Source organism: Homo sapiens, chromosome 17 (genome assembly GCF_000001405.40).
Source record: "Homo sapiens chromosome 17, GRCh38.p14 Primary Assembly".
Classification (NCBI taxonomy): Eukaryota; Metazoa; Chordata; class Mammalia; order Primates; family Hominidae; genus Homo; species Homo sapiens.
Window position 1 is genome coordinate 43990983 of NC_000017.11, and position 19286 is coordinate 44010268.

Consider the following 19286-nt stretch of genomic DNA (forward strand, 5'->3'; position numbering starts at 1 on the left):
GACAGGGTTTCACCATGGTCTCGAACTCCTCACCTCATGATCCGCCCGCCTCGGCCTCCCAAAGTGCTGGGATTACAAGCGTGAGCCACCGCGCCCGGCCTAGGATTTAATGTTATGCGGGAAAGACAGGATACAAAATGTCACCTGCAATAAGATCTCAACTGGGGCCAGGCACAGTGGCTCATGCCTGTAATTCCAGCACTTTGGGAGGCTGAGGCAGGTAGATCACCTGAGGTCAGGAGTTCGAGACTACCCTGGCCAACATGGTGAAACCCTGTCTCTGCTAATAATACAAAAAATTAGCCAGGCATTGTGGCAGGCACCTGTAATCCCACCTATTTGGGAAGCTGAGGCAGGAGAAACACTTGAACCCAGGAGGGAGAGGTTGCAGTGAGCTGAGATCTTGTCATTGCACTCCAGCCTGGGCAAAAAGAGTGAAATTCCATCTCAAATAAATAAATAAATAAGATCTCAACTGGGAAAAGAAATAAGGGTAGTAAGTCTATGTAAAACTATATGGTCAGGCTGGTGGATGCTGCCTCTGGCAGATGGGCTGTAGCAAATGCTTTTTTTCTTCCTTTTGCTTCTCCATGCTTCCTCTCCCCACAACATACGTCTTCCTGAACCAGTAATGTCATTAAAATATCTTGTGTAGCCTGGGCAACATGGTGAAACTCCATCTCTACAAAAAATTGGCTGGGCGTGGTGGCCCATGCCCATAGTCCCAGCTACCTGGGAGGCTGAGGCTGGAGGATCACTAAGCCTGGTGGTCGAGGCTGCAGCGAGCTGTGATTGTGCTACTGCACTCTAGCCTGGGCAACACAGTGAGGCCTTGTCTCAAAAGAAAAAAAAAAAAGGCCGGGCGCGGTGGCTCACGCCTGTAATCCCAACACTCTGGGAGGCCGAGGCAGACGGATCACGAGGTCAGGAGATGGAGACTACCCTGACTAACACGGTGAAACCCCGTCTGTACTAAAAAAGTACAAAAAATTAGCTGGGCGTGGTGGCGGGCGCCTGTAGCCCAGCTACTCAGGAGGCTGAGGCAGGAGAATGGCGTGAACCTGGGAGGCGGAGCTTGCAGTGAGCCAAGACTGTGCACTGCACTCCAGCCTGGGCAACAGTGCAAGACTCTGTCTCAAAGAAAAAAAAAAAAAAAAAAACCTTTACCAGATATTCCCTCTTCTGAATATTTATCCTTCAAAAAAATATTTCAACAATATAAGGGAACGTTTTATGCACAAAAGTGCTCATTACAGCATCATTTATAACCATATATAAATTGGATGATAATCAAGTGCTTAATAATAGGAAACTGAGGCCAGGCACGGTGGATCATGCCTGTAATCTCAGAACTTTGGGAGGCCGAGGCAGATGGATCACTTAAGGTCAGGAGCTCGAGACCAGCTTGGCCAACACGGTGAAACCCCGTCTCTACTAAAAATACAAGGCCAGGCGCAGTGGCTCATGCCTGTAATCCCAGCACTTTGGGAGGCCGAGGTGGGCGGATCACCTGAGGGCAGGAGTTTGAGACCAGCCTCAGCATGGAGAAACCCCGTCACTACTAAAAATACAAAATTAGCCGGGTGTGGTGGTGCATGCCTGTAATTCCAGCTACTCGGGAGGCTGAGGCAGGAGAACTGCTTGAACCTGGGAGGCGGAGGTTGCCGTGAGCTGAGATCACGCCATTGCACTCCAGCCTGGGCAACAAGAGCGAAACTCCATCAAAAAAAATAATAATAATTAAAAATACAAAATTAGTCGGGTATGGTGGCAGGCGCCTGTAATCCCATCTATTCGGGAGGCTGAGGCACGCGAATCACTTGATGGCCATGTGACCACAGAAGCAGATTGGAGTGATGTAGCCACAAGTCAAGGGCTGCCCGCAACCACACAGGCTGGAACAGGGGGAGGATTGTCAGAGGAAGCGTGTCTGCCTTCCGGCCTCCAGACAGTGAGAGGACACACTTCTGTTGTTTAAGCCACCAATTTGTGGTGCTTTGTTATGGTAGCCTTAGGAAATGAATACAGAAAGTAATATGAAAAATGCTGCGCCGGGCGCTGCGACGCACACCTGTAATCCCAGCACTTCAGGAGGCCAAGGAGGGTGGAATGCTTGAGCCCAGGAATTTGAGACCAGCCTAGTCAACATGGCAAAACCCTATCTCTACAAAAAAATACAAAAATTAGCCAGGCATGGGCTGGGTGCTGTGGCTCACGCCTGTAATCCCAGCACTTTGGGAGGCCAAGGCGGGTGGATCACGAGGTCAGGAGATCGAGACCAACCTGGCTAACACGGTGAAACCCCGTCTCTACTAAAAATACAAAAAATTAGCCGGGCGTGGTGGTGGTGTCTGTAGTCCCAGGTACTCGGGAGGCTGAGGCAGAAGAATGGCGTGAACCCGCGAGGCAGAGCCTGCAGTGAGCCGAGATTGCACCACTGCACTCCAGCTTGGGAGACAGAGCGCAACTCCATCTCCAAAAAAAAAAAAAAAAATTAGCCAGGCATGGTGGGGCACATCTGTCATCCCAGCTACTCAGGTGGCTGAGGCAGAAGGATCATTTGAGCCTGGGAGGCAGAGGCTGCAATGAGCTGATATCGTGCCACTGCACTCCAGCCTGGGCAACAGAGTGAGACTCTGTCTTAAAAAAAAAAAAATGCTGTGACATACTGATAAGTGAAAAATCAGAAAAATTAATTCTATATACACAATAATACAGCCATGTTTTTAAGTGTAAAAAGAGCTTGAAAAGAAATAGACCAAAAGCAAACTGCAGCTGTATTTGTGGGCCAGGTAGGTTTTGTTTATCCAATTTTCAACATTTTTGGTAACTTCTCTAAGTTACTTTTATTTTTTGAAATTATTTATTAATTATTATTATTATTATTTTGAGACAGGGTCCTGCTCTGTTGCCCAGGCTGGGGTGCAGTGGCACAATCTCTGGTCACTGCAGCCTCCACCACCTGGATTCAAGTGATCCTCCCACCTCAGCCTGCCCAGTAGCTGGGACTACAGGCATGCGTTACCAGGCCTGGCTAATTTTCAAATTATTTGTAGAGATGAGGTCTCTCTACATTACCTGGGCTTGTCTCAGACTCCTGGGCTCAAGTGATCCTCCTGCCTCAGCCTCCCAAAGTGCTGGGATTACAGGCATGGGCCACTACACCCAGCCTGAAAAAAAAATTTTAAAAAAATTATAAGTATACTGTGCTGTAACCATCAGCCCCCTCTGTCTGTTCCCACTGCCAGGCCCCCCTCTCTCTGCCTGGGAACTGTTCTTATCTCCCAAGTGCTCAACACAAATCAAGGCACTCCCTTCCTCAAAACCCTGCAGCGGCTCCCCAGGTCTCCTTAACCTACACCCCACCCCTGGCCTCAAGCTACCGTCGGCTTTACCCTTCCCCTGCCCCACTCACAGTAACAGTCAAGTCAGCGAACATTGCCACTTTCTTGGTTTCTCTGTTTGAGCCGCAGCCACCGTGTAAGGTAGGGAGAGAAGCTTTCTCCCTACTGAGAAGATGGAAGGATCCCCAGAGTGGGAGCAAAAGTCCTGCACAAAGTCAGCCCGAATCCAGTGATTGAGGCTAGGACTCGAACCTCGCGTTTTGATCCAGGGTGCGGCAAGGGCGCCCCATTAACGTGTCCCGCCCGAGGATGCCTGAGCCCCCTCCTCCGTGGCTCAGCCTGAGGGGAGAACTCCCCACCTTCGTCCCAAATAAAACCTCCTGCTCCTCTCAACGCCTTTGCCCCTGATTCCCCCGTTAGGCTGCACCCTCACTCCCCCACCCACGAGCTGCGTTTTCCCGGAAGGGTTGGGGTCTCGGGATCCGAGACAGAGCCCTGCCTGGGCCCAACGAACGGGAGGGCGCTGGCTGGGGCCGGGGGTGGCCAGGGCCCCGGGGGAAAGGCGGTAAGCATGAGCAAGAGGGTATCAGGAGTCGCCCCAGCCTCGCCGCCCCGGGGCGGTTCCCACTAGCACCTCGGGAGGATCCCTTCACTCCGCCGGTCCCCGCAGGGCAGGCGGACCCCACGCGGCCAGTCCGGGACTACCCGGGACTACCCGAGACTTTGCATCGCGTGGCCGGGCCGGCATCGCCCCTTGGTGGCAATTGTTTGTCATTACAACCTGGGGCGCAAAGTGGAATCCCTGTCCTCTATCCACCGAGGACCCCTGGGGTATTTTGGCGGCTGGACCTGCGCCCTGAGTCCAGGAGGCTCGATATTCACCCTTAGGATATTTTCCTGAACCCCGATACCCCACAATCTCCTATCCGCACATTAACTTTACCTTGGGATATGCAAATATTAAGTAGAACCCTATGAAATTTACATTAGTTAACCGTTTTTGTTTGGTTTGGTTTGGTTTGGTTATGTTTGAGACAGAGTCTCGCTCTGTCACCCACGCTGGAGGCGATCTCAGCTCACTGCAACCTCCGCCTCCCGGGTTCAAGTGATTCTCCTGCCTCAGCCTCCCGAGTAGCTGGGACCACAGATGGTTATAACAATACCTCCCATCCCACATGCCCTTCCACAAGGAGGCCCTGACATCTCCCATCAAGAAATGCAGACGGGCCGGGCACGGTGGCTCACGCCTGTAATCCCAGTGCTTTGGGAGGCCCAGGTGGGTGGATCACTTGAGGTCAGGAGTTCAAGACCAGCCTGACCAACATGGTGAAACCCCGTCTCTACTAAAAATACAAAAATTAGCCGGGTGTGGTGGCAGGCGCCTGTAGTCCCAGCTACTTGGGAGGCTGAGGCAAGAGGATTGCTTGAACCCAGGAGGCAGAGGTTGCGGTGAGCTGAGATCCAGCCACTGCACTCCAGCCTGGGTGACACTCCATCTCAATGAAAAAAAAAAAAAAAAACGAAAAGAAGAGAAATGCAGGCATGCAGGCGGCGACAGTGGCTCACGCCTGTAATCCCAACACTTTGGGAGGCCAAGGCAGTTGGATCGCTTGAGCTCAGGAGTTTAAGACTAGCTGGGCAACATAGCAAAACTCTGTCTCTACAAAAAAAGAAAGAAAAAAATTATATATATATATGAAAGAAATGCAGCCCATGACCCCTTCCCTTGAGTCTGGTGGGCTTGTGACACACTTATAACCAATAGGATGGGTCAGAAGTAATGCTACAGGACTGCTAAGGTTGAACTTTAAAAGACAATGCAGCAGCCACCTTTTCTGCTGGACCAGGTGGGCTTGAAGCCTCCAGCTGCCCTGTAAGCAGCCCAACTGCCCTGAAGCTGCTCCAAATCAGCCTGCCCAGAGAGACCACTCTGAGACTACGTGGAGAGAGAGAGAGAGATGCTTGTCCAGCCCCCAGCTGGACCCAGGCCCCACCCTTGCTGTCCCAGCTCCAGCCATCATCTGACTGCAACCACATGAGAAACTCTGAACTAGAACCACCAGGTAAGCCCTTCCTGAATTCCTCATGGAGAGCATCCATGAGCAAATAAAATGGTTCTTTCAAGCCATGGGGTTTTGGGGTAATTTTCATTTTTTGAGACAGTGTCTCACTCTGTCACCCAGGCTGGAGTGCAGTGGTGTAATCTCAGCCCACTGCAACCTCCACCTCCTGGGTTCAGGTGATCCTCCTACCTCAGCCTCCCAAGCAGCTGGGACCACATATGTCCACCACCAGACCTGGCTAATTTCTTGTTTTTTATTTTTACTTTATGCTGGGTTTTTTTGTTTTTGTTGGTTTGTTTATTTGTTCATTTGTTTTGAGACAGGGTCTTGCTCTGTTGCCCAAGCTGGAGTGCAGTGGCGCAATCTCAGCTCACTGCAACCCCCACCTCCTGGGCTTAGGCCATCCTCCCACCTCAGCCACCCGAGTAGCTGGAACTACAGGCGCACACCACCACGCCCAGCTAATTTTTGTATTTTTTTATAGAGACAAGGTTTTGCCATGTTGCCCAGGCTGGTCTCAAATTCCTGAGCTCAAGCAATGTACCTGCCTCAGCCTCCCAAAGTGCTGGGATTACAGGTATGAGCCACTGCACGTGGCCTAATTTTTTACAGTTTCTTTTTTTGGGGTGATGTTGTTGTTGTTGTTTGGTTGTTTTTTGTTTTGTTTTGAGACAGAGTCTGTCTCTGTCACCAGGCTGGAGTGCAGTGGCATGATCTCGACTCACTGCAACCTCTGCCTCCCAGGTTCAAGTGATTCCCCGGCCTCAGCCTCCTGAGTAGCTGGGATTACAGGCATGCACCACCACGCCTGGCTAACTTTTTTGTATTTTTAGTAGAGACAGGATTTCACCATACTGGCCAGGCTGGTCTAGAACTCCTGACCTTGTGATCCACCCGCCTTGGCCTCCCGAAGTGCTGAGATTACAGGCATGAGCCACTGCGCCTGGCCGGGTGTTCCAATTTTAAACAGGGTGGTAACACTTGAGCAAACCCTGATGGAGGTTACCATGGGGATACCTGCAGAAAATGTCCCAAGTAGAGGACACAGCCAGTGCCAAGGCAAAAGTAATTGTACCTGACATGCTTAAGCTATGTGAAGAGGTCCTCATGGCTGGTGAGGAGTGAGCTGGCTGGAGGGGCAGGGGCAGTAGGAAATAAGGTCAAACAAGTGCCTGGCAATCACAAGGACTTCGACTTTTACTCTCAGTGAGATGGAAGCCATGAGAGTTCAGAACAGAGGAATGACACCATGGGACTCACCTTTCAAAAATCACTGAGGCAGCTGTGTTGAGAATAGACTCTAGTGGGCAAAAATGGAAGCAAGAAGGCTACATAGAAAAATCCACCCCTTACGAATGCGGCTTCGACCCTATATCCCCCGCCCGCGTTCCTTTAAGGCCATTTAGGAAGCTATTTCTTCAACTCAGGGTGGTATCCTGGAGGAGGTGGGAAAACATTGGATATTGGATATATTTTATGGGTAGAATATATACTGACTAATTGGACATAGGGTATGAAAAAAAAAATCAAGAATGACCATAGATTGGTTTTTTTGTTTTTGTTTTTTGAGACAGAGTCTCACTCTGTCGCCCAGGCTGGAGTGCAGTGGCAAGATCTCGTCTCACTGGAACCTCCACCTCCCAGGTTCAAGTCATTCTCCTGCCTTAGCCTCCTGAGAAGCTGGGATTACAGATGCCCACCACCACATCTGGCTAATTTTTGTATTTTTAGTAGAGACGGAGTTTCACCATGTTGGCCAGGCTGGTCTCGAACTCCTGACTTCAGGTCATCTGCCCACTTTGGCCTCCCAAAGTATTGGGATTACAGGCATGAGGCACCATGCCTGAACCCACAGATTTTTTTTTTTTTTTAAGAAACAGCTTTTCAGCCAGACACAGTGGCTCACACTTGTAATCCTAGCACTTTGGGAGGCCAAGACAGGCGGATTTCATGGGCTCAAGAGTTCGAGACCAGCCTGGGCAATACGATGAAACCGTGTCTCTACTAAAATGCAAAAAATTAGCCGGGCATGGCAGCATGCACCTGCAGTCCCAGCTACTTGGGAGGTTGAGGCAGGAAAATTGCTTGAACCTGGGAGGTGGAGGTTGCAGTGAGCTGAGATCAAGCCACTGCACTTCAATCTGGGTGACAGAGTGAGACTCTGTCTCAAAAAGAAAAGAAAAGGAAAAAAAAGAAACAGGGTTTCACTGTGTTGTCCAGGCTGCAGTACAGTGGTGCATTCATAGCTCACTGCAGCCTCAACCTCCCTGGCTCAAGAGATCCTCCTGCCTCACTCAGCCTCCCAAGTAGCCAGGATTACAGGCATGAGTCACTACGCCCAGCTGATCATAGATTTTTGGCTCTGAGAAAAGAGGAAACTGAGCTGCCATCAACTGAGATGGGAAGATGTGAGTAAAGTAGATTTGGCCACAGCATGGGGGAATGGCGCTCTGATTTAGATGCCTGGAATGTGAGATGCCTACTACATGTCTATTATATTAGGTCCAAGGGGTCGAGTAGGTAGTTAGAGACACAGATCTGCAGTTCAGAAGAATGGTCTGGGCTGAAATTAAAAACATGACAGTCATCAGCTTAGAGATGGTATTTAAGTCATAAAACTACACAGGATCCCGAGAGAGAGAAAGTAGAGAAAAGGACCAAGGCCTGAGCTCTGTGGTTCTCCATCAGGAAGACAGCAGGAGAAAGAGGAGGACCAGGAAGGGAGTGTGAGGAAGAGCAGCCTGAGGCCAGGTGAAGGGGGTATCGAGGAGGAGGGAGGGAGGCAAAGGTGGCCAATAGGCTTAGGGGGAGGAGGGCTGAGAATTGACCCTTAGATTTAGCAATGCAGTGGTCACTGGTGACCTTGACAGTGACTCTGGTAGGGGTGGGGGAGATGGCCTAAGTGGATTGCGCCTAAGGGAGAACGAGAGGGAGGACCTGGAGGCAGCAATTTTGTTCGCTTTTTCCAGGAATTTTGAAGGTAAAAGGAGCAAAGAATTGGGGCAACATTTAGTTGATCCCAGAGTGGGGTTGAGGGGTGGCGGGGGAGGTGAAGTTAGAAGTTTTGTTAGAGGCCGGGCACGGTCGCTCACGCCTGTAATCCCAGCACTTTGGGAGGCTGAGGAGGGCAGATCACCTAAGGTGAGGAGGGCAGATCACCTAAGTTCAGGAGTTCAAGACCAGTCTGGCTAAAATGGTGAAACCCTGTTTCTACTAAAAATACAAAAAATCAGCCAGGCGTGGTGGCGCGTGCCTGTAATCCCAGCTACTCGGGAGGATGAGGCAGAAGAATTGCTTGAACCCAGGAGGCAGAGGTTGCAGTGAGCTGAGATCACGCCATTGCACTCCAGCTTGGGCAACAAGAGTGAAACTCCGTCTCAAAAAAAAAAAAAAGAAAAGAAGTTTTGTTAAGATGGAAAATAACTGTGTTTATATGCTGGTGGGAATTTTGATGATGGAGCAGCAGAGGGAAGACTTCCTGGAGCAATGCTCAGGAGGAAGGAAGGGATGGGGCCTGTGCACCACGACAGGAACTGGCTTTAGATGACACCTGTGCTGTCCATCTACACTAACAGGTGGAGAGCAGAGACATGGGTGCCTATGTTTTCCGAGAGCTTCCTTTTTCTTTTCTTTTTTTATTTTTGAGAAAAGCCTCACTCTGTTGCCCACGTTGGAGTGCAGTGGCGTGGTCATAGCTTATTGCATGCAGCCTCAACCTCCCAGGCTCAAGCAATCCTCCCACCTCCGCGTCCTGAGTAGCTGGAACTACACATGCACACCATTATGCCCAGCTTGTAGTTGTAAATTTAAAGTGAGACCAGGCGTCGAGGTTGTATGTCTTTCTCTAGCCATCATGCATGCTCAGCTGTGTAGTGCAGGCACAGGATAGATGGAAGGTGGATTTGATCAGGGTTTCTGTCACATGAGCATGACAAAGCCGGAGGACTGCCCTGTGTCTGCCTTTGGTTGGGCCTGGGTGTATCTGTGTGCCTTTGTAGATAAGGGCAGATGGCACTGTCAAGAGGTCTGTGCTACTCTGGGTGTGTCAAAGTGTCCTGTAGCTGTCAATGGCCACAGCTGGGTGTGTTTTTGTGTTCTTGGTGTCTTTTCACGTCTATGTCCATGTGTTCCTATATGACACAGTCGCTGAGAATGCCTGAGAATGCCTAAGTGTGCACTTTTTTTTTTTTTTTTTGAGACTGAGTCTTGCTCTGTCACACAGGCTGGAGTGCAGTGGTGTGATCTTGGCTCACCGCGACCTCCACCTCCCAGGTTCAGCCTCCCGAGTAGCTGGGATTACAGGTGTCAGCCACCACACCTGGCTAATTTTTGTATTTTTTTTTTTAGCAGGGACAGGTCTTCGCTACGTTGGCCAGGCTGGTCTCAAACTCCTGACCTCAAGTGATCCGCCCGCCTCAGCCTCCCAAAGTGCTGGGATTATAGGCATGAGCCACCACACCTGGCCTATGTGAGTGCACAATTCTGTATCCAAACGTGTATGAGTGGATCTGTGTACCTCTGTACACCTGTATGGTGTACAGGGGCATTCCTCTACGTACAGATGAGTGTCTGTGTGACTGTGGCTGGTGTGGGTCTCCAAGTTTGTCTACTGTGTCTCTTTGTACACCCGTGTGTCTACACATCGTTTATCTGTTTGCATCTCAATGCTATGGGGCTCTGTATTTGTGTACTGTGCATGTTTGTGTGTGTGTCTCCCCTCAGGAGCTGTGATGTGGTACTGTCAAATGTCAACCCCAGCCCCTCACCCTGGCCAATTCCTGTCACATTCATGCCCTGCTGGGCTGAGATGCGGCCAAGAAGGGCTGTATTGGGAGGGAAAGCCTTGGGCTTAAACCTGGCTACTGTGCTCGGGGCCCAGGACCCTTCTGGGTGGAAGTTATGTCTCTGCTCCCAGGATCTCCAAGACCCAAGCCTGGTGAGAAGCTGGGCCCCTGAACCTGGGCACAATGACAACAGGCTCTGCTCTAACAAAATAACACCCACCTTTAAAGGAAGAAAAATGTGAGCTGGACCCATACATCAACAATGATCCTGTAGGCCTTCAACTCAGAGGGGTGGGGCTGGGTAGGAGTGCTGACCCCAGACACTCACACTCTTCTCCTCCAGAAAGCAGGGCCAGTCCCCAACCAGAGGAGAGGTGGAGGGGACACAGTGGCCCCAGGGTCAATGGGCCTGGAGTTAATCATCTACTCTGGTATCTCTGGGCCCCATTGGCTGCCTGGGGACACGGCCCTCTGGGATGAAGCCCAAAGGAGTCAGAAGCCGCTTCCCAGCCCATTTCCACCTCATAGGCTCAGGGGCAATGGAGCTGATTCAGTCAGCAGGGACTGAATTGGGTGGATCCCTAGGAAGCCCCCATCTGAGGGAGATACCAGTCCTGCCCTCAGGGAGCCCCAGTCTGAGTCAAAGAGGACAGAGACAAGAAGGAATTCTGAGTGGAGAGGGGTCAGCAGGGGTGGCCTGCTGTGATGAAGAGCTGGCCTTGCAGCCTAGGGAAAGAGAAGCACATTTGGGTTGAAGGAGTTTGGAGAGGAAAACTATTATGCCCCTGGAGGCTAAGACCTCCTCCTCCAGTGGATTCTGAGAAGTGTGTGTGTGGCCGGGCCTGAGAGTAAAGAGGGAAGAGAAAGAAGGCCCTGGAGGTGGCCCCACCAGGTAGGGGGTGCAGCCCCTCCACGCCATTGCTTCATGCTTTGCCTTGGAACCCAAGATTTCTAAGTGGGAAAACAAAAAAACTCAATGAGGAGGTCCTATGTCAGCCCCTCCTTCCACTACAGAGTCTCCCCCCCGGGACAGTGTGTCCGAGGGGTGGGGGACTGCGGGGAAGATCCCAGAAACGGGTAAGCGCACTCACTCGGCCTCCCCTGGAGACTCCTCAGGAGGGAAGTAGCCCAAGCCCTGCTCCCCAAAAAGGCAGAGCCCCAGGTGTCAGGACTCCAGCATGGGGAGACAAAACCACGTGCAAGAAAGCAGGGAGGAGCAGGGGTAGGAACTGAGGGTGCTTAGGGTCTGGCCATGCCACTGACGAGCTGTGTGACCTTGGCCAGGTCACCTCCCCTCTACAACAACAGAGGGTCCTCTTTCCCCCTCTACAACAACAGAGGGTCTGACTGGATCAGAGTGTACCCAAGGGCAGGATGTGTGCAGCTGACAGTGCCCAGCACATGGACACAGTATGAAGTAACATTGAATCATATCCTGTGAATGTTTTCAAGCCTTTCAACTCCTTTCCAAAACTTGCTTAACAGCATGGATCTGGAGCAGAACTGCTTCCTAGACCAGCTCCACGGCTTGTGAGCTGAGTGACCCTGATCCTCACATATTTCTGTACCTCCATTTTCTCATCTGTAAAATGGGAATAATGATAATAGCTATCCTGGAGTCACTGAGAGGATTAAATGAATGACTATTTGTGAAGTCCTTTGCATAGTGCCTAGCATTCGACATGTGTTAGCTATTCCTCTACCACACAGAAGGCTTTGCTTGGTGCTAGGGTATCTTTAACACATGGCACCTGCTAACCTTCCATGTTACCAAGAAAGCAGGCAAGCTATGCAGATGGAATATAATGGAATGTAATAACATTGTTTTCCTCTCACTTGATTCTTTTTTAATTTTGATTTTAATTTTAATTTTAATTTTTTTGAGACAGGGTCTCATTCTGTCGCCCAGACGGGAGTGCAGTGGCACAGTCTCAGTTCACCGCAATCTCCTCCTCCCAGGCTCAAGTGATTCTCTGGCCTCCTGAGTAGCTGGGATTACAGAAACATGCCACTACTGCCTGGCTAATTTTTGTATTTTTAGTAGAGATGGGGTTTCACCATGTTGGCCAGGCTGGTCTTGAACTTCTGACCTCAAATGACCCACCCGCCTCCTCACTTGATTCTTAAGGCTTATGGCAAGTGATACTGGCCTAGTTACAGACCTAACATGGATAAACTTTAAGTTTAAAAAGGTTAAAGAGGGCCGGGCGTGGTGGCTCACGCCTGTAATCCCAGCACTTTGGGAGGCTGAGGCAGGTGGATCACGAGGTCAGGAGTTTGAGACAATCCTGGCCAACATGGTGAAACCCTGTCTCTACTAAAAATACAAAGATTAGCCGGGTGTGATGGTGTCTGCCTGTAATCCCTGCTACTCAGGAGGCTGAGGCAGGAGAATCGCTTGAACCCAGAAGGCGGGGATTACAGTGAGCCGAGATCGCAACACTGCACTCCAGCCTGGGCAATAGGGTGGGACTCCATCTCAAACAAACAAACAAACAAAAAAAAAAAAAAAAAAAAGGGTTACAGAGGTCGAGTGAAGTAGCTCACACCTGTAATCCCAGCACCTTGGGAGGCAGAAGTGGGAGGACTGCTTGAGCTCAGGAGTTCACGAACAGTCTGGGCAACATGGTGAACACCCGTCTTCAAAAAAAATAATTTTTTTTTAAATCAGCTGGGCATGGTGGTGTGCATTTGTGGTCCCAGCTACTAGGGAGACTGAGGCAGGAGGATCATTTGAACCTGGGAGGTGGAGGCTGCAGTGAGCTATGATTGCACCACTGTACTGCAGCCTGGGCAACAACAGAGTGAGACCCTATCTCAAAAACCAAAATAAAAAACTCTATTTTATTTTATTTTTACCAGATGTGATATTCGATAAAGAAAAGCATTAACACTAAAGTATTATAAGTTTTGAGGGGTGTTTTGAGGATATCACAGAATTCCTCAAGCTGGTACCCAGTGACTGGAGTTTGGCAAACCCTGGTAACCTCATGGTCATTCATTAGGATCTTTTTTGAGCTCAGGCAACAGGACAGACAAGGCCAGCACCACCCGCCCCCGCCCTCCCACTGCCCCCCTTCTTCTACTCTTTCCAGCGCCCTCCTTCCAGCCCCCTGCCCAGCCCTGTGCTCAAAGCCACCTACAGTCCCTTCTTCTCTGGTCAGAATGCCAATCATCCAAGGCCCTGCAGACTCCCAAAGCCGCCCCTGGAACCTACCTTGGCAGCAGATTAAAGACAACCCGCCACATTTAGTCTCGGCCCCATGACCGATAGTGGGTTCAGTTCCTCCAGGGGCGGGGGAGCCTAGTGGCCCCGCCCCCTGACTCATGGCCTGACCCTCCTCAAACGCACCCAGAGGAGACTCCTGGTCCCCTGTCCGGACCCCGCCCCGACCAGGTCCAGCCCCGCCCAACGGCAAGTTAAGAGCCCCCCAGTGCCAGACGCTCCAGACAGACTGCCACTCTTGGGGGGCAAGAGTTGGTTGTCGTCATGGCGACGGCGCTGATGGCTGTGGTTCTGCGGGCAGCTGCTGTAGCCCCGAGGCTGAGAGGCCGGGGAGGCACTGGGGGCGCCCGAAGGCTGAGCTGTGGCGCGCGGCGGCGGGCGGCGAGGGGCACCAGCCCGGGGCGCCGGCTCAGCACCGCCTGGTCGCAGCCCCAGCCCCCGCCCGAGGAGTACGCGGGCGCGGACGACGTCTCCCAGTCGCCCGTCGCCGAGGAGCCGTCGTGGGTGCCGAGTCCCAGGCCCCCGGTGCCCCACGAGTCCCCAGAGCCTCCTTCGGGCCGCTCGCTGGTGCAGCGGGACATCCAGGCCTTCCTGAACCAGTGCGGGGCCAGCCCTGGGGAGGCGCGCCACTGGCTCACGCAGTTCCAGACCTGCCATCACTCCGCGGACAAGCCCTTCGCCGTCATCGAGGTGAGCGGAGCCCGGCGTGGGCCGTGACGCAGCGAGGGGATGGGGTTGTGCGGCCACCTGTCCTCAGGCATGGCAGGATACGCTGCGGGCTCTGCGCAGCGGAAGCGGGAAGGAGCCCGGCAGGGCCCAGACCAGCGCCGCCGGGAATGGGAGAGGCCGTAAGCTCCTCCGGAAGCCTCCCGCCCAGCCCGAGTGAGGATCCTGGGGGACCCCACCCGCCAGGTGTGATGCTCTGAAGAAGGCCCCCAACATGGGCGCAGTTAGGGGTTCAGAAGGACCTGGACAGGAGCCGCTTGCACTGCCCCTCCCCCAAAGATGTCCCGGAGTCCAAGGTCGGAGGGAGGAGGGCGGGAGGTACCCCAGCGTGAGACAAGGGAGTGGCAAGACCCAACGGGGCAAAGGGCGGAGCAGGTGGGCACTGGTGGCCAGAACTGGGTCCTGACAGCTTCTGGAAGGGTAGGGTCACCGAGACGGCCCTGCAGGCCAGGCTGTGGGAGCCAGCGGCTCAGGTCCGTGTCACGCTCCTTGAAAGCCCACTCCTCCGCAGGTGGACGAGGAGGTGCTCAAGTGCCAGCAGGGCGTATCCAGTCTGGCCTTTGCCCTGGCCTTCTTGCAGCGCATGGACATGAAGCCGCTGGTGGTCCTGGGGCTGCCGGCCCCTACGGCTCCCTCGGGCTGTCTTTCCTTCTGGGAGGCCAAGGCGCAGCTGGCCAAGAGCTGCAAGGTGCTGGTAGACGCGCTTCGACACAACGCCGCCGCTGCTGTGCCATTTTTTGGCGGCGGGTCTGTGCTACGCGCTGCCGAGCCGGCTCCCCATGCCAGGTGAGTGCCCGCCCTGCCCGCCCAGGCGTCCTCAGAGCGTGCTACTCTGCCCGCCCTGCCCCGTCCGGCAGGCCTGGAGGGGGCCCTCTCGAGCACCACGTCTGGCCCACAGCTACGGCGGCATCGTCTCGGTGGAGACAGACCTGCTGCAGTGGTGCCTGGAGTCGGGCAGCATCCCCATCCTGTGCCCCATCGGGGAGACGGCCGCGCGCCGCTCCGTGCTTCTCGACTCCCTGGAGGTGACCGCGTCGCTGGCCAAGGCGCTGCGGCCCACCAAAATCATCTTCCTCAATAACACAGGCGGCCTGCGCGACAGCAGTCATAAGGTGCGGCCCTTTCTTTCACCTTCCCCCACGCCGGCGATCCGGGCCTTCTCTTGCGCCCCTCGCACTTCTCCCCGACGGGCCGCAGACTCACTAGCAAGCCGGGTGGGTAGAAAAGCCTAAGGGAGTATAGGGGAGGAGTTCAGCCCTGGGTGCCCAGATCTGCGCCCTCCCTGGCTAAGGACTCCGGGCGGAAGTAAGGATAAAGGGGTCAGAGAAAAGAGAGGTCCGTGGGGGTAGGGGGGCAGTCCGTGCCGGCTGTGGGCCAGGCTCACCCGCTGACTCCGGACACAGGTCCTGAGTAACGTGAACCTGCCCGCCGACCTGGACCTGGTGTGCAACGCCGAGTGGGTGAGCACAAAAGAACGGCAGCAGATGCGGCTCATCGTGGACGTGCTCAGCCGCCTGCCCCACCACTCCTCGGCCGTCATCACCGCCGCTAGCACGCTGCTCACTGAGCTCTTTAGCAACAAGGGTGAGGGCGGTGGGCGGGCCGGGGACTGGGTCCCGGGAGTGAGTACTGGCCGGGGCTGGGTGTCTGCGGTCAGGAGGAGCGGCTTCTCCTCCTGTCCAGGAGCCGTAGGGGGAGGCGGGGGGTGTCACAGCAATGGCTCCTGCTGCTGCCGAAACCCGGGGGAGGTGAGAGAGGAGGAGACCCAGTGTACTGGAAGGGAACTCCGAAGGAATTAAAGGAATGGGCGGGACTAGGGGGGAGAAGGAGGGGCCCCCCGGTGGGCGGGGCCAGGGGCGGGACCATAAGGGAGGTGTTCGACCGGGAGAGATGGGCGGGGCTTAGGTGGGTGGGCCGGGTCAGCGGCGGGAGACAGACTTCAAGGAGCGAGGCAAGACTAACGGAAGTGGGTGGGGCTCCAGGCGACAGGAGGAACTTGGGGCACAATCTCTGCCTGGGGAAAGCATCTCCTTGAATGAAAATCACAGACAAATCTATGCAGACCACTGAAATCATTTCACTGTGGAGGTCTCCCAAAGACGGAAATTGTCCCACCAGCGCCTGTCCTACCTGCAGTCCCCACCAGGCTGCGCAAACGGCCCTCCAGCCAGACTAGCCCCTCCCCATCCTCCTCCAGGGTCCGGGACCCTGTTCAAGAACGCCGAGCGAATGCTACGGGTGCGCAGCCTGGACAAGCTGGACCAGGGCCGTCTAGTGGACCTGGTCAACGCCAGCTTCGGCAAGAAGCTCAGGGACGACTACCTGGCCTCGCTGCGCCCGCGGCTGCACTCCATCTACGTCTCCGAGGGGTAAGCCTGCGGACCCCAGAGGGCGGGGTCTGGGGGGCAGTCGGGCAGCTTCGGACCAAGGAGAGGTCCCAGCCTGCCGCTCTCCCGCTGCGCCAGGTACAACGCCGCCGCCATTCTGACCATGGAGCCCGTCCTGGGGGGCACCCCGTACCTGGACAAATTTGTGGTGAGCTCCAGCCGCCAGGGCCAAGGCTCCGGCCAGATGCTGTGGGAGTGCCTGCGGCGGGACCTTCAGACACTTTTCTGGCGCTCCCGGGTCACCAACCCCATCAATCCCTGGTAGGTCCTGCCACTCCCAGCTCTGGGCTGGGCCCTGACTTCCCTCCCCTCTCCCACCCTTGCCAACCATGCCAAGAAGGCTGGGCTTCCTCTTCTTCCACTGGTCTCCCTTTCACTACCTCCCAGGGGCAGAACACACAGAAAGCCTGAGATTTCCCGAGTTAAAGCATGCTTAACACTCCTTTTCTGGCAGCAAGTGACACCTCCTAAGCCCCACGCAGCCCACCTCTCACAGGGGCCTGAGGAATCCTAACCCTTCAGGGTCTATTGGAGGCCTGCGGCGCCTCCAGTGGAACATCCCTCCTCTCTCCTTCAGTAACTACCCCCTCACCCCTACACCCTGCTCTGTGAGCACTAGGAAGTGAGCAAGAACCCTCCTCTTTGCTGCACAGCCAAGGCAGTGTGGAGAGCAAAGCACCCGCTCCCTTCCTGTGTGCGCCTGGCAAGGTACCTAACTTCTCTGAGCCTTAGCTGCTTCTCTGTGAGCTGAGCATCACAATGCCAGGCTCAGGCCTCTGCTGTGAGGATAAAATGAGATAACACACAGCAGGACCAAGCTGGGTGCCCAGCATGCAGTAGGTCCTCAATCAATGTTTTTTAAAGACAGAACCAGTGAGTAATGAACACTGGCCTTGCCCTAAAAACTGTTTCCTACATCACCTCCCCACACCCAGGTACTTCAAACACAGTGATGGCAGCTTCTCCAACAAGCAGTGGATCTTCTTCTGGTTTGGCCTGGCTGATATCCGGGACTCCTATGAGTTGGTCAACCACGCCAAGGGACTGCCAGACTCCTTTCACAAGCCAGCTTCTGACCCAGGCAGCTGACCCTCACCATGGACACTACAGGCCCTGGAATGGCCAGGGTGGACCAAAAGCCATGCCAGCTGGGCATGACCCCAGGCAGCCAGCCACAGGCTGAAGGGGGCTTGTTGGCTGAGTGATCTGCAGAGGAGAAAGCAGCCCCAGCTCTGCCCAGAGGAGGCGCTGAAGTGGGACAAGCACAGGAAAGAAGGGGACCAGTCTAGGACCCCAACTCGACTCACTCTAAAGCTACAACCAAATGGCCTTCGATTTTCAACCTGGGGATTAGGGGAGGGGAGGGTGCCTTCCAGGGCTCTACTCAGGACTAACCCTAAGGGTGAGCTAGTTTCTGTGCCTCTGTGCTATGTTTTGAGGCTCCCTTACCCAAAATAATACCCCTGCCTGCGTGATATTCTACCATTCATTTTAATTCCTTTGGGTCTTGCAGTTTTTCAGGAGGCCTTGATTAAAATGCAAATACTTGTCTGAGAGTCAGCTTACACTTGAAAGAAAATTAGAAGTGACCCCGTGGGAGCAAGATTTTTTTTTTTTTTTTAAAGACAGGATCTTGCTCTGTTACCAAGGCTAGAGTACAGTGGTGCAATCACAGCTCACTGCAGCCTTGACCTCCCAGGCTCAAGCAATCCTCCCATGTCAGCCTCCTAAATAAGCTGGTACCACAGGCATGCACCGCCACACCTGGATCTTTTTTTTTTGGTAGAGACGAGGTCTCACTATGTTGCCAAGGCTGCTCTCAAACTCCTGGGCTCAAGCAATCCTCCCTGCTTGGCCTCCCAAAATGCTAGGATTACAGGCTGGGAGCAAGATCTTGAGGGCTGGGGAATCAGGGGACTCCTGGAGGGAGTAGAAGACTTCTATGATGAATGCTGCCACCATCTCCCTCCCAGAGATTAGGAAGCATCCTCCCTTCCACAGACCAGGCCACAGCAGCCCCAGCTCCCCTTGCCTGTGAGTGCCTCCACCCACAGCTCCCTTTCTAGGCTGGGCTCACAGCCAGACCCAGGCATCAGTGGCGGACCGTTTACCTGCAAGAGCCCAGAGAAGTTAAAAGATGGCTTTGGCTTAAAAGCTCAAACTTGGACGTTTTCCCCTAGGCCCTACTAGTGGTTGTGTCCAGTCTCTACAGGACTCGATGGGCAGAAATCCAAAGCCCAGGGGTTTCATTTGACATTTTTTGAAGCTCCATAATGTAGCAGGCACCATACCGGCTGCTGCTGGGGTGACTTTCTGGCAGACACATAGACAAGAAGGGAGAAGGTCGCCGGATGCGATGACTCACGCCTGTAATCCCAGCACTTTAGGAGGCCGAGGCGGGTGGATCACGAGGTGAGGAGATCGAGACCATCTTGGCTAACACAGTGAAACCCCATCTCTACTAAAAATACAAAAAATTAGCTGGGCGTGGTGGCGGGCGCCTGTAGTCCCAGCTACTCAGGAGGCTGAGGCAGGAGAATGGCGTGAACCTGGGAGGCGGAGCTTGCAGTGAGCCAAGACCGCACCACTGCACTCCAGCCTGGGCGACAGAGCGAGACTCCGTCTCAAAAAAAAAAAAAATTAGCCAGGCATGGTGGCGGGCACCTGTAATCCCAGCTACTCAGGAGGCTGAGGCAGGAGAATCACTTGAACCCGGGAGGCAGAGGTTGCAGTGAGCCGAGATCACACCACAGCAC

At 53.9% G+C, this 19286-nt stretch overlaps 2 protein-coding genes across 4 annotated transcripts in view, besides 1 other annotated feature; one reads left to right on the plus strand and one right to left on the minus strand.

The window, feature by feature from the left end:
- PYY (peptide YY) overlaps positions 1 to 13463 on the minus strand; it is a 51713-nt gene extending 38250 nt beyond the window's left edge. Inside the window, exon 1 of the mRNA NM_004160.6 lies at positions 13409 to 13463. The gene's annotated coding sequence lies outside the window, so the exon portion shown is untranslated. The remainder of the gene's footprint in view (positions 1 to 13408) is intronic.
- On the plus strand, positions 13640 to 18086 carry NAGS (N-acetylglutamate synthase). Of its 3 annotated transcripts, none has more exons than NM_153006.3 (7): positions 13640 to 14107; positions 14655 to 14929; positions 15042 to 15255; positions 15547 to 15727; positions 16341 to 16512; positions 16609 to 16791; positions 17466 to 18086. In NM_153006.3, the coding sequence occupies exons 1-7, from the start codon at positions 13682 to 13684 to the stop codon at positions 17617 to 17619; spliced, it is 1605 nt and encodes a 534-aa protein (NP_694551.1). In that variant the 5' UTR covers positions 13640 to 13681; the 3' UTR covers positions 17620 to 18086. The 3 variants fall into 3 exon arrangements, with proteins under 3 accessions (NP_694551.1, XP_011522740.1, XP_011522741.1); XM_011524439.2 differs by having other exon boundaries at positions 14014 to 14329; XM_011524438.2 differs by lacking the exon at positions 16609 to 16791.
- Positions 14563 to 15318: an enhancer, noted in NCBI's record as "H3K4me1 hESC enhancer chr17:42082913-42083668 (GRCh37/hg19 assembly coordinates)". NCBI's record gives its function as "activates a minimal SCP1, AML or CMV promoter by ChIP-STARR-seq in naive H9 embryonic stem cells {active_cell/tissue: H9 hESC(naive)}" and the evidence as "EXISTENCE:reporter gene assay evidence [ECO:0000049][PMID:30033119]".

Coding starts and splice junctions, on each gene's coding strand:
- NAGS (NM_153006.3), top strand. CDS start 13,682: ATGGCGACGGCGCTGATGGCTGTGGTTCTGCGGGCAGCTGCTGTAGCC. Junction 14,930..15,041: donor GAGCCGGCTCCCCATGCCAG/GTGAGTGCCCGC, acceptor TCTGGCCCACAG/CTACGGCGGCATCGTCTCGG. Junction 15,728..16,340: donor TGAGCTCTTTAGCAACAAGG/GTGAGGGCGGTG, acceptor ATCCTCCTCCAG/GGTCCGGGACCCTGTTCAAG.